This window comes from Homo sapiens, chromosome 2 (assembly GCF_000001405.40).
Source record: "Homo sapiens chromosome 2, GRCh38.p14 Primary Assembly".
In the NCBI taxonomy this organism is placed as follows: domain Eukaryota; kingdom Metazoa; phylum Chordata; class Mammalia; order Primates; family Hominidae; genus Homo; species Homo sapiens.
In genome coordinates, this window is record NC_000002.12 from 23,523,951 (window position 1) to 23,537,704 (window position 13,754).

At 51.9% G+C, this 13,754-nt stretch overlaps 1 protein-coding gene and 1 long non-coding RNA gene across 3 annotated transcripts in view, besides 3 other annotated features; one reads left to right on the top strand and one right to left on the bottom strand.

The window, feature by feature from the left end:
• Positions 1–453: part of an enhancer, noted in NCBI's record as "CDK7 strongly-dependent group 2 enhancer chr2:23746074-23747273 (GRCh37/hg19 assembly coordinates)", that runs on past the window's edge. NCBI's record gives its function as "activates an origin of replication core promoter dependent on BRD2, BRD4, P300/CBP, MED14 and CDK7 cofactors, with strong dependence on CDK7, by STARR-seq in HCT116 cells {active_cell/tissue: HCT116}" and the evidence as "EXISTENCE:reporter gene assay evidence [ECO:0000049][PMID:35650434]".
• Positions 1–6,358, bottom strand: part of LOC105374325 (uncharacterized) — a 28,384-nt gene extending 22,026 nt beyond the window's left edge. Inside the window, exon 1 of the long non-coding RNA XR_939831.2 lies at positions 1–6,358. This is a non-coding gene — a long non-coding RNA (uncharacterized LOC105374325).
• KLHL29 (kelch like family member 29) overlaps positions 1–13,754 on the top strand; it is a 323,428-nt gene that overhangs the window by 138,772 nt on the left and 170,902 nt on the right. The window lies entirely within an intron of this gene.
• Positions 9,044–9,103: an enhancer, noted in NCBI's record as "active region_15414". NCBI's record gives its function as "activates an Ori minimal core promoter by ATAC-STARR-seq in GM12878 lymphoblastoid cells {active_cell/tissue: GM12878}" and the evidence as "EXISTENCE:reporter gene assay evidence [ECO:0000049][PMID:35858748]".
• Positions 11,967–12,842: an enhancer, noted in NCBI's record as "H3K4me1 hESC enhancer chr2:23758787-23759662 (GRCh37/hg19 assembly coordinates)". NCBI's record gives its function as "activates a minimal SCP1, AML or CMV promoter by ChIP-STARR-seq in naive H9 embryonic stem cells {active_cell/tissue: H9 hESC(naive)}" and the evidence as "EXISTENCE:reporter gene assay evidence [ECO:0000049][PMID:30033119]".

Here is a 13,754-nt window from a genome sequence, read left to right on the forward strand (position 1 = left end):
CTCGTAAAGAGAAGATTCCATGCGTCTTTCGGGAGCTTGCCTAAACACCACCAGCGTTGCTCTGTCATGTGAATGAGTTTTTTTTACCAGCATGCCTTCCTCTTCCGAAGGCCTTCCCCATCTAGGGTTTTTTCTCCCCATGACACCTCAGTGTCGTAGGTAGCGGAGATGCAAGTGTTCCCATTTCTCGGAAAAGGAAGCCGATGCTGGAGCGGGGGATGACTTGCTCAGTGCTGTGCTAGGGAGTGGCAGAGCCACCCAGGCCCAAGTGCCCGGCTCCTCATCCACATCTCTTTCTATTACACCAAACCCAGAGCGGGCAGGCAGGGCAGAAGAGACTACAGAAGCACAGGCGCCTGCTGGGCCGGCCTTGGCTCGGAGGGGCTCAGGAAGACCCAGGAAGTAGCAGGCCAGGAAATACCTTTAGGTCCTGCCCCGGGCTCCCGGGAGGCGTCGGCAGGAGAAGCAGGGCAGCAGCTGTGAGTCACGGTGATGGATGTTCATGGCTCACGGGTGGGCGGCTCGCGCGTGCACTGGTGCCAGGGTGGCCACACGGCTGGCAGGCCAGTGGGCTGGGTGTCACATTTCAGCAACATGATCTCTGCTCTGCCCAAGTGAGGAGGAACATGCTTGCGGGCATCTGTGGCCTTCAACTCAGAGAGGGGGTGGGTGGAGGGACGAGGTGGTTGAGAGGACACCTCTGATTCGATCTGTTCCGTTCCTTTGCTGGCCTTGCCACCCTTTCCAGTGCTGTGCATGTGTCCCTCCCAAGAGTCCAGAAAGCTGGATTTAAAAGTCAAAGTTTCTGAAGGACTTCATGGTGAGCAGAACACATTTGGTATGAAAACATTACAGGAAAACAAAAGCCTCCCAGGCTTCCTGCCTCTCAGCAAAAGAATTGGAAGGCATTTTCCATGTGGGGAGGGAGGCCATTTCTATTTCATGGGGATCTTAAAAGTAATTTTGCTGCCTGTAATTTTTTTTATCCAAACTCTCTCAGACTTTGGTTCTCAGCTGGATGACTTAGTGATCTCTAAAATGTGCTGACATTCTGGCTCGTAAGAATACATACTGTTACTTTTAATGAATGAGATTTGTTTTTAAAAGATCTCCTCAAATCAGCTGAGCACTCCAGGTGCAGCTATGGCACTGATGCTGGGAGGGGAGGCCAAATGCCTGACTTCAAGGTGCTGGGAGCTAAGTATTCCTGTCTCGGCACGTAGGAGGGAGGAAAAAGCCAGAGAAGACTTGAGGACTGAGAATACAGGCTAAGGCCAGGCCCACGCCTGGAAGAGAAGAACTTTCTCTTTGTCTCCTTGCCCACTGCCTGTCCCTGAGCCTGCGGGACTGGGAGGGCAGAGGACACTTCTGGGGTTTGGCCCAGAGAATTTATTTCTTCTTTTCTTGTTTTCCGCTACACCACGTGGCTTCAGACCATGACATTTCTGTTCAATGCCGTCAGTGCCTTGGTTTGAGGAGAATGTCTGTGTACCCAGCTTCCATGGCCAAGAAGAAATGGTGGCCGGAGCTTGCTGGCATCTGCTCTTGCCCTGTCTCCCTTCCTCTCTCTCCTGCGTGACCAGCAGCCAAGGGACAGTTCCTTCTGGCCAGGCAGTGGGATGGAGCTAAGGGGGAGGAGATGCAGGAGCAAGGCCCAGACCCCCGTCCTGAGCTTGGCGGCGAGGGGCCTGGTTTTGCCCTGCCTGGGAAGAGTAAGGCATGGAACCTGCTGGGACTTTCCTCGCTCCCCAGAGGCCGAGTGAGCCCCAGCCCCTGCCCCCCCCCCCCACCCGAGGCGAGCCAGCAGAGCCAGGGCCCACCCGCTATTTTTAGAAAGCTATCAGGTGCGCAGGACGCCCAGTTGCCTTTTTCCACCTATTCGGGCTCATTCTAGGGATCCTGTGTTGCTGCCCCAGGCCCCACCTGTCCTGATGTGATTGTCTTACTGTGGCCTGGAGCTGGCACGAAGCTTCCTCCCGATGCAACCCAGCCACCCTTCTGGCCTCATCTGGCCATGGCAAGTCACGTCCCTGACATCCGTGGACCTGCAGCCATTGTGTCCTCAGAAGCGTGGATGTTGGGCCCTAATGTTTGCCCTCCTCTGCTTCCTTGAGAGGAAGGTAAAGGCTGAAAGGGAAAAGCAGGTTAGGAAAAACCTGGAATAGGGATCCCATCGTGAGGAGTGTTAAGTCATTGAGTAGAAGATTCTGGAGCCTTTGTTCTAGAGGAAGCTGCATGGAGTGTGCAGTCTGGCAGGGGATGCCCACGTGCAGTCGTGGTGTTCATTGCCAGCGCATGCAGTTCAGAGGAACGTGGGCGGTCGGAGGAAGCGTCACAGGGGAGGGGAAACCAGAGCTGTGGTCAGGGCATGCGGGAGGGGTGGCATCGAAGGCAGAGGGACCACAAATGCTGCGCTCTTGGCCTGGCAGCGGGACAGCCCATGCGTGACTAAGGAACGCCGAGGAGGCACGAGGCTGGTGCAGAGGGCTCTGCAGGGGCCGGGGGAGGAGAGCCTGGAGAGAGCCTGAGACGCCCTGAATTCCAGGTGAGGTGTCTGGACGAGATCCAGCAGATGGTGGGAAAAACCACTGAAGGTTGGAGGGGAGAGAGAGGAGCCTAGTGGGCTGGTGGCCTGCTCTGCCCTCTGCCTACCAGAGTGACCTGGCCTCCTCATGGTCATAGAGCAGCAGCAGCCGTGGGTCCAGAGCAGCACCTTTGTGGCCTGCCCTCCACACCCAGCTCACAAGTCTCTAGCGTGGGGTGAGCTGGGGTTGGCTCCGTGGCTCCCAAGAGCCCATTGTTAACGTCTCTTCCCAGCTCCTCATTAGGAGACAGCACCTTGGTAGCTCGAAACGGCCACAGTGGGAATATTTATACAACAGAAACTGATGAACGCTGCATGCACATCAGGGTCTGGGTGGGTTTTTTTTGTCCACCACCACCAGCAGAGCCGGGTGTTAAACATTTACCAGTATAGCTCTGGGTAACAGGGAGCCCCCGCAGGGTTTCGTGCTCGGGGTTAGCATGGTGGGCTGAGCAGTGACCACACGGGGCTGGTATCCTGCGTTGGTGGACATGTGTTGTGTCACTTCCCTGCTAGGAAGCTAGGATGGGGAGTGGGGATGGAGCCTCAACCAGGAGAACTGGGCGACGGTGGCCATGTTGGCCCATTCTGAAACCAGGCTCCTTAACATGGGCTCCCAGACCCTAGACACGGCTCACACGGAGGACACGTGTGTTTCCTGCCTCTGCTTCATCACCTGAGCAGGCCCTGCCCAGCTACACTGGACCTCTTTCCAGTCCTTAAATGCGACCTGCTTCTTCTCCCCTTTAGAGCCAGCACGTGCTTGCCCCTCCCTCAGAATCACGCCCCCCAGCCACCCCAGGGTGGGGGCTGGGCAGCATTAGTATACCACACTGTGTCTGCAGGGCCCTCGTGGGTGTTGCCCAGCAAAAGCCCCGCCATGCTGTCTGCAGCATCCCTTCTGCCTGCTCAGAGACTGTGGAGCCCAGAGCAGGGAAGGACTGCCCTTTCCTGGGGTGGGTGGAGAGGCTTGCCTGCTTAGAAAGCTGTGAGCAGAACTTAGAGGCTGTGAGCAGAACTTAGAGGCTGTTCATCTCCGGGCACAGAGCTAGAGCCTTTCTCAGCGAAGAGTCGGCTTGGTCTTGACAGCACGGTGAAAGCAGTAGGATTGGTTCAGTGTTCTCGAGTTCCAAAACACGCAGCCCACGAAATTGTCCAACAACCTCGCCACATGGGTTGTGCTCTCATTTCAGAGGTGAGGAAACTGAGGGCCAGGTGGTTAGCTTACACCCCAAGCCTCCATAGGAGCAACTGGTAGTCCCCAGGCCTTGATCTTGATTCCTGGAGCCCTAAACCCCGAGTCAGCTTTCTGCATTGAAGGTTTTGGACCATTCATCCCAACCAAACGTAGACATCAGGAGCAGCCCAGGCTCTGCCAGGAGATCAAGGTGCAAGGCCCCCAGGCTACTGCAGACCCCATCACCACCACCCCTCTGGGACCTGCCTCTAAAATGGGAGTTAATGGCGGCTGTGAATACACTGTTGCATTTGTTGCTCTTTTGGGAAAAGAAAAACCTGGCTTCTAAGAGCTGTTGTATTTTATTTTTCTGTAAAGAAGAAATTAATTTTAGTCTTTCTTTTTGGTTTAAAATGTTGTTCTTTGCTTTTTCTGCCCTACAATTTAAAAGGAAACATTTGTCTGTTGAGAAAAGAAATGGTAATTATAGACTAAAAATTGTTTCTATTCTGATTTGAAAAAGTGACAAAAAAAAATTCCATCGCACAGATGGGGCTCTGCTGACGGAGGGTGTTTAACAATGAAGCCCTGGGCCGGTTTGGGGCTCGGAATGGCTGGAGGTGGGTGTGGGATTGGGTGTTGTGGGGCGAGGGGCTGTTTCCGAGGCTGGTCTCCATTTCCGATGCTGGTTAGTCACTAGTTCCTGCACTCTCCGTGTGGTTCAACAGTGGGAGGAAGAAGACGTGACTGGAGATGTCACCTGTGGACCCTGCAGCCCTTATAAGGTGGGCTGTACAGGACGAGGCCACGCGCTCCCTTGCATGGACCCTGAGCCCAGAGAGCCTCCAGGCTTTATTCCCTTAGCCCAGAATTTCACTTTTCAGCCTCCCAAAATTACAATTGCTCCAAGTCCTTTGATCAATAAAGCAGGAAACTGATTAGACTGTGAAATTAAACTAATAATGTCACGCTGTTAACCCTCAATCAATGGGGACTGAGCTCAAAGTGAAGGCTACTTCCTAGATCCATATTACCCTTTGGACACACGTATTTACTTTTTTAAAGAAATCCTAGGGGCGCACACATCCCCAGACCGCCTTTCTTTCCTGCCAGCGCAGCCTGACTCGCAGTGCTATCTCTGCGGCCACCCTGGCGGTGCTGCCGTGTGTGTGGTGTGGAAGGCCAAGATAGAACCGAGTCTGCAAGTTGGCTGGGGTAGGGGTGCCCCTTGGGCCTTGGGAGTGGGACTCAGAACTTCTGCTGAAAGTGTGATCCTCATGGCCCCCAGCCCACCCTTAAGCCTCTTGTCACTAGAAACCTCTCTTTGGGGATGATGCTGAGCCACCCTCTAACCATACGTAGGGCCGAAGTATATAGTACTGGCTGAAAAGCCCCTTTTTACTAATTTTTTTTAGAGACAAGTTCTTGCTCTGTCACGCAGGCTGCAGTGTGCAGTGGCACGATCATAGCTCACTGAGGCCTAGAACTCCTGAGATCAAGGGATCTTACAGCCTCAGCCTCCCAAGTAGCTGGGACTACAGATGCACACCACCACACCTGGCTAATTTTTTTCCCCATTTTCTGTAGAGATGGGGGTCTTGCTATGTTGCCCAGGCTGGTCTTGAACTCCTGGCCTAAAGCAATCCTCCCGCCTCAGCCTCCCAAGGCACTGGGATTGCAGGCATGAGCCCCTGCAGCTGGCTAAGAGCTCCATTTTAAAATGGATATTGGGTTCACTCCACCACTATGCATGCTGCAGTATGGGGTTTGCTGAGACCTTTGTGTGTTCAGTCTCATGAGAGAGAGCAGGGGTCATGGTTTTTCTTATTTTGCTTCTCCCTTCCCCCCACCTCAGCCCCTGTTGCCCACCCGCCCCCACCAAAGCACAGGCTTGGTATAGACCTGGCTGATTGGAGGTGATGAGCATACCGAAGAGGCGAGTGAGGGCAGGTGTGAGGGCTGTTTTCAAGGGCTGGTTTGGGGAGTAGAGTATAATAGGTCTAGTACAGAAACAGGACCTAGCTTAGACCAGCCTCCACCTGCGGGCTGGCTCTGGGGTTCATGGAGGCAGGGCTGAGCCCGCCACCCGTCCTGAGACAGCCTGGGGGGCCGCATTTGCAGACTGAGCTCTGGTCGCAGCATGACAAAGGCTTGCCCGTTGCAGTATCGAGGACTGAGTCTCAGGTGTGCCCATGTCCTGAGAGGCCACGGCTTGTCACTCACCAAAGTGGTGAGCATGGATCAAGCTAGGTGTCAAACACAGCCATCAGGACCGGCTCAGCTGCGGCACTTCAGTCCGGCTCTTTCCATGTGCTCTTCAATATGTGGCTTCAGTTCTGCAGGGCTGGAAGGGCAGTTGCTATTACCCCCATTTAAGGGATAAATAAATTGAGGCTGGGTGGTTGAGGGGTGTACACAGTCACACTGCCAAAGAGGCAGGGCTGGCTCTAGTACTGTGGCGTAGAGCCCTCTGGGTGCCTGAGTTCTCTCCAGGAGGCTGTTCTGGAATCAGCGAAGTCTTTATCCTCTTCTGGCCTTGCCATTGAAGAGGAGGAGCTCGTAAGCCCTTTCCATGGGCCCTCCCACGGCTTGTCCTCCCAACCTGTCAGTTCCATCACGCTGGAATGTTGCCAAGGATCAGACCCCCTCTCTAAAAGTGGTGATGGTATTTAATAACTAATTACTCTAATGATCCTGCAGAAATGCTGGAGACCTGTTTTAGGAGAGATGTCAATTAGAGCCATCTGCACGGTGAATAAAGGAGCCCTCCCCCAGCTGTACTGTTGAAACATGTTAGCGTTTTCCTACCAGCGGCCATATGGTACTTAACGAAAGTGAATTGTTCACACTGCACAACCCGCGCCTCCTGATGAATACTAGCATTTTGTTTTGGAAAATAGTTCTTCCATCGTGTGGAATATTTTTCAATGCAGTAAGTAGCAAGTTGGAAGCCAGCAAGCCCTTGAATGCAAAAAGACTCCCATCACCTCAAGATGCTCTTCCCTCCATCCCAGCCCATCCCCTGCCCCCGCCCAGCTGCCAAGCCCAGCTCCACCCCAGCTCCCACATCCCTCCTGGGCCCAGTTCTTAGCATCTGCTTCTGAATCTGCTCAGGAGAGTGGAGGCCACCAAGGGTTCTTGCCCCATCCCACCAGCTTTGTGTCTGTATGAACTTAGAAATGGAAAACCTGAAGCCATACACAGAGCACAGAGCTCTGTCTGGAAGGATGCAGACATGGGCAGAGTCTCCCCAGAGTTGAAAAGTAGGGTGGGGTGTTTAACTGGGTGTGTGGCCTCACAGAAGGGTTCGTTTTCTATCTGTAGGATGTTTGTTTTAAGAAGTGCAAAGTTCAGGTTGACACCTGGATGCACAGTGAGGTAGAGGGGGTAAGCTGGGACTGTATCTGGGACTCGGCAGAAGCCTGGCTGAGAAGCCTGTCTCCTCCTCGTCACCTGTACAGACAAGTTTCAAATAAATAGTGAGCGAAAGTCATTGCCACGTGGTGGCCAGACAGCTGGGACCAGGGTGCAGCCACCCTGTGGGTTCCATTAACCAAAAACAGGCATGTTGGGTTCTTGTTGCCTGGGACGTTTCAAAAGCAGACCACTGCCAACATGGGACCTATTTGGGGGGTGAGGCTCAGTTTTGTGATGCTCAAGGGAGAAGAACAGGCGACCGTCCCCATCAGTTCCATCCCCCACCCACCCACTACCAGATTGCTCTGGCAAGGGGACCCTCCGCCTCCCTCGTGGGGCTCTGTGGCCTCAGTGAGCTGAGACCCTGCCTCCGAGCCGCCAGGACGGAGCTGCTTTATTGCAGTCTGCCCTGGGACCAACGGGATTTCACTTGCCAGTAATATCTATTCCGGAACTTTCCCTAGAACCAGAGTCACTTATTAAAGCTTAATAAAAGGCCAGATTGACTGCAGTTAGTGACAGAGAAGACCTGCCGCAAGTCCTGGTACCCAAGACGCTCTTCACAAAACCGTGGGCCCATAAATCTCACTTATTTCCAATTCCGCAGCAACTGATCCCAAGTTACAATAATGATCCTAGGTTCAGCTGAACATGTCCTTAAAGGAAATCCTTCTGGGTGAAAAATAGCAGAAATGTGCTCCCATCTGTTCCTCATCAGCAGACTGCACTATACTATTTGCTTTCCACGTCTGTGCCCTGGATACTTTCTCACCCTCTTTGACACCTGGGACCATAGAGATGTGAACCTGAAAGAACCAAGTCGCCACGACTCCCAAGTGCCACCTCAGTAAGGGACCTCAACGGGACGACCAAGGCCCAGTGGAAGCCTCGACGGCCCTTGACCATGGAAGCTGCCCAGAGCATCTCAAATAAGTCAGCAGCCTTTCCACTGGGCCTATTCCACAACGACCCCCCACAGACCAGAACCCGCTCCACTGGGGCCATGCCTGGGAGTTACTCCAAAGAGTTAACCTTTCCTGGTGGGAGAGGGGTGGAGGGGAAGGCTGAGGCCATTTGACATGTGCTGCCTGGTCTGAACATGATGCTGTGCTCAGACACTGAATTTGATGAAGTGCATTGTAAAATTTAAAAACAAATTTAAAACTCTATTAACTCCCTGTAATGGCCTCCTCCTGCAGTACATAGACAACACCGGCTCACTGGCAAGGAGAAAAAGTACTCTGGTTTGCAGTGTGCTTGGCTTGAAGCAGAATGGAGACGGTGGGAGCTGGTGAAGGGAATGGGGAGCCCACGCACCCTCTGCACCCAGGGCAGCACCCAGGGCGGCACCCAGGCCCCTGCTAGTGGAGCTTTGTGGGATGTGCATCGCCAAGGTTAGACTTTTTCTTGCTCCTATGTTAAAATCTCACTTTCACTTTCCTTTGAAGCTAAAACACTTCCTTCAAGAATGCACCACTGGAGTGACAAGATTGTAAGATTATCTTAACTTGGGACTGAGGCCTGGGCGGTGGGGAGCTCACTAGAGGCCTGTGGTTTGGGGTCAGCATGGGGGTGGGTGTCAGGTGGGAGGAGGTGTGTTCCCAGCCTCACCCACTACACCCTCTGCACGGGGAGAAGGATCAGGGCAGGGAGACTGTTCGCCACAGGCCTCTGCAAATCGAGGCGCGTTCAGGGTAAGGGGAGGATTGGCCCGGCTCCAGGCTACCAACTGGAGAGAGACGAACTTTTGTTGAGAAGGGAGACAGCCCCACAGCTGTGTGTGCACGTGGGCCGAGAGGAGGAGCTCAGCTGGCGGTGAGAAAGCCTGGGGGCCGAGGGGAGGGTTCCCTCTACGTCTCTGCAACTCACAGGCCCCCAAGCTGAGGAGCAGAAGGTGCTGCCTGGCCTGGTCTTTGACGAGTTCAAGGGATTTTCTGCCAACCAGTGGCTTCCCTGTGTGAGAGCGTCTCTCAGTTTTTCCTGAGCACGTAAAGTGGTTTGGAGATATTGGGGGAGGAAAAGGTGTACACATACGGCAGGCCTGGGGGTCAAAGGCAGCAGAGAAACCATGCGTATGTGTGAGTGTGTGCAGATCTGTGTGTGCACAAGTAAGCAGTGCCTTCTGATGTGGCTGCTTGTGGGCTAGTCCTAGGGCATGGGTTTGATGCGGACTCTTGCATCCAGGGAAGTATTTTTCTGAGAGTTCCCCCACCCTCTGGGGCTGGCATTCTACCCCCTTTGGAAAGAAAGCTGGGATGGTCTAAGCAGGGAGGGGTCCTGTGGAGACTTGTAGCTCCTGGCCCAGCAGGATTCATGGCATTTGGCGTCAGAGAAAACGTGAGCCTCTGCCGGGAGTGAAGCAGCTGATGCAAAACAAGGAGCCCTGGGTCGTAGATGCAGCTCTGTGCAGCCTCTGGGGAGCCTTGGCGCTGGCTCGCAGATCAAAGCTGGGAGACCTGGGAGCTCCCTGAAAGCTCCTTCCCTGGCAGCTGCAGATGGGGTGCGGCGTTTGGGCTGGGTGATGGCATTTGTAACAGTGTGAGGACCCCCCACTCTCCCGGGACTAACAGTGTAAATAAGAATTGGGGCATTTACGCCAATGAAGAGAACAGAATTTCCTTGTGCTGACAATCTAGAAGATCCGCTTGTGGACAGTTGAAATGCTAATTATAAGCTAACTCTGTTTTCAACCTTTGTGAACCCGGTTTGGGCTATTTTGTATCAATAAGACTGCTTTCAGAAAAAACAAATTTACTAATTAACTCCCTTTATTTTAAATACATGAGACTTTCCTATGGTGTCTGTTGTTTTTTTTTTTTTAAAGAAACGTGTGCGCTATGAGGTGTTTCCACAGCTCTTTTTGGGGTATGTAATAGTCCTCCTGATATTTTAATTGATATTTGAACCAAGTAAGGACCCGCCAATAGTTGAAAGTCCCCGGTTTCGGGGATGCCTTTCCAAGCAACCAGGGATTCCTGTCTGACATCCCGCTGAGCAGCACCCATTTTATCGTGTTTCTTCCCACAGCACAGGAAACAGGACAACCGGGGCTTCAGATCATGAGACCTGGTGTTGAATCCAGGTACAATGCTTTGTGAACCTGGGAAGTCACTTGGCCACATTGCAGTTAGTATGACTTACCTTGTAGGGTCCTTCTCATCATTGTTATTTTTATTAGATAAAATCACATTTGTGCAACACCTAGCCCAATGCCTGTTCCTTAACAGGCATTTAATAAGTGATGGTTATTATGTCTCAATGCCTTTGTTGACACATTATGTCTTCCCAGCGTGGAATTTTCCTCTCTTTATTGTTTTCTATTGAAATCCTTTGCGTCCTTTCAGAGGCTACTATGAATGCCCCCACCTCCGAGAAGCCTTCCTGTTTGGCCTTAGCCAGAATGACTTATTTCTTTGCAGCATCACAGATGCTAACTTCTGTTCCAGCCCAAGTTCCCGTCTTCCTTCTCTTCTGCTCAGTGTCTCTCCAGCTACACTGAGCTGCCCCTTTCCTGCCACAGCAGGGCCCAGCTCTGTGTATGGCACAGAGGCTCATAGAGTGGATGTGTTTTGAGTTGTTGAGTGAAGCTGAGGTCCCACAGTCTCTTTGAGGCTCCAGTGCTTCAAAACTTCCCTTGACAGACTACTGTGGGTGACTAGTCAACTGCAGAATTAGAAAGAAAAAACAGTGCCTTTTCTGGTCACTTAGAGCTGAGGGCATCTTGGATTTCACAGCCTAGAACCCCCTGCAGGCTTTTTGGATCCCCTAATCCTGTTGATGCTGCAGCAGTATCGACTGGCCCTAAAAGCAGCTGCTAAAATGCGTCTGGCACAAAGGAACTTTCTGGGCTGATGGAAATGGTCTGTATCATGATTGGGGTGGTGGTTAGGCAGGTGCATGCATTTGTCAAAACTCATCAGACTGTGCACTTAAGATTTGGACAGTTACTTTATGGACATTATATCTCCATAAAATTAGTTAATTTTTTTAAAATGTGGCCTGACCAGACAGGCTGGATACAGGGGCCTGTTGTGGTCTTCCTGTGGCCTTGGGAAATGCAGCTCATGCCAGCATGGCACAGGATTGCTCTGGGAGGAAAAGAGACAGAACAGTCTCTGCATTTGTGGAACTTAACCCTTTAAGTCCTGAGCTAGGACTCCACACACAGGTGCCTCGCCACCCTCTCCCAGGAGACCTCACCCTGGCCTGCCTCCAAAGAATCAGAGCCAAGCCTCACACGGCCACAGGCTGAGGCCTGCCTCTCACAGGAGAAGAGAAGATTAAAATTAATGTAAAATCTAACAGATATTTGTATACCCATGTTAATAGCAGCATTATTCACAATAGCCAAAAGGTAGAAGCAACTCAGGTGTCCATTAATTAATGAATGGATACACAAAATGTGTTGTATACATACAATTGAATATTATCTAGCCTTAAAAAGAAAGGGAATGCTATAGTCATGGATACCTACTACAACATAGATGAACCTTGAAGACATTATGCTAAATGAGATGAGCCAGACAAAGGAAAGGATAAATATGGTATGAGTCCACTTATACGAGGTACCTAGAGCAAATTCATAGAGACGGAAAGTAGAACGGTGGGTGCCAGGGTTTCGGGGAGGCGGGAAAGGGGAGTTATTGTTTTTAGTGGGCAGAGTTTCAGTTTGGAAAGATGAAACATTTTGGAGGTGGATCGTGGTGATAGTTACACAACATTGAGAATGTACTTAATGCCATTGAAGTGTACACATAAAATGGCTAAAATGGTCGGTTTTAGGTTTTGTATATTTGATTACAATAAAAAGAATAAAGAAGAGCAACGAAAGAATCCCAGGCCTAAGGCAGCCTCCTGGCCCCCTTAAATTTCAACATTTTAAATGTTATCATTCAGGGGACTGCTTAGCAGAGGATGTGGTTTCTGGTCTGAGAATCAAAATGTGGGAAACAGAAGCCCTCTCTGACTGCCAGGCCCTTTCAGAGCGACAGGTATCCTTCCTAAATGCCAGGTCCTTTTGTCAAGACAAAGGTGGGTGACCACATATCGCGCCACTGGTTTAACTTGATTTTCCCATCTGACTCTCTCGGGCAACGTGTATCCTGAAGCTGATGATGGAGGGGTGAATTTTACTTTATCGCCCCAGCAACTCCCAGCATCATGATTGGGGTGACCCCATCCTCAAGACCCAAGGGGCTCCAAGCTGCGGAAATTAGAGTACGCTGTGTGGACGGCAGCTTGGCTGTCAGAGCGGGTTGGCTCCTGGCCTGTAATTCAGAATGATACCCGGGTACTTGTCGCAGCAGGGGGCTGGTGCCGGCCTGAGCAGGCCTGCCGTGGAGAGTTTAAAGGAGGCTGACTCTCCCCGTTTTGCCTCAGGGACCATTTTTGATTTGTTCTTTGAATGGCAGAAGGCCTGGCCCATCAAACTCACAGGCAACCCTTCCCATGCTCAGAGGAGAGAGAGCTCGGCACAGCAGCCTGTGAAGGGGGCTGCCAACCTTTTCGTTTATAAAATACTGCTGGATTCTTGAGTCCTGATCTCTCTCCGTGAAGGTTTGCTGCAGTCAGGCCGTTAGGAGGACAAAGAAAGAATCTATTGGAAGGGCCCGAGCCTGTGCTGTGAAAAGAAGCTCTGTACTGTTTATGTTCTGGTTGATGTAGATAAGTAGGTACCATGCCTATAGTAAAGGAAAGAGAGTGACATTCTGAGACAAACTTCTGGTTCCCTTCCTACTAACGAAATAGCGAAAGACAGATCTCACACACACACACACACACACACACACACTCTCTCTCTCCCTCTCTCGCTCTCTCTCTCTCCCTCTCTCGCTCTCTCTCCTTCAGGTGTGGTGTAAAGGGCTGTTCTGGACCTGCTGGCATCCCCATTTTGTCCGTTACGTCCCTGTTCTTGGCAGAAACTTGAGGTGCACATGCTACTCTGGTCCCACGCCACCTTGCCCCTGGATGCCACTTTCTTGCAGTCTGACTTTCTGTCTCTGAATTTGCATTTGTCCTGAGTTCCCTTTCAGTCACTGGTTGCTCTCGGGCTCTGTCGGCTAATTCAGTTGGTGGGTGCCACTGCCACCACCCTTCATGGGCAGTGCTGCCGCTTCTGTGCCCCTGGCTACCCTCTGAACACTCTGTTGCCTCAGTGGGAGGGGTCTGCTTCCCCCTTTTGCCTTCTCCATCATACTACAGTGCAGGGAAGGGCATTGAAAGTCCTTTAGGAAGGACGAGTAACTTCTAGTTGAGTTTGAGCTGCCGATTCCTGCGGTGGGCAGAAACTACACACACACACACACACACACACACACACACACACACACACACACACAGGCACGCACACGCTTCTCCAGCAGATCGGGAGGAGGCATCCTGTGTAACCACTCATGCCCAATATTATGTCAGGTGCATTAGTGCTTAGAATGCAGAGTTGTTATAACCATACAAGATACTAGGATTCATCTGTTGGCAGAATTTGGAGCACAGAACTGCAGGGACTAAAGGAAGTAGGAGGCCCCATCTGGGTATTTGGGAAGGGATGGTTCATCGCTCTTTGCTGAGATGTGGGGC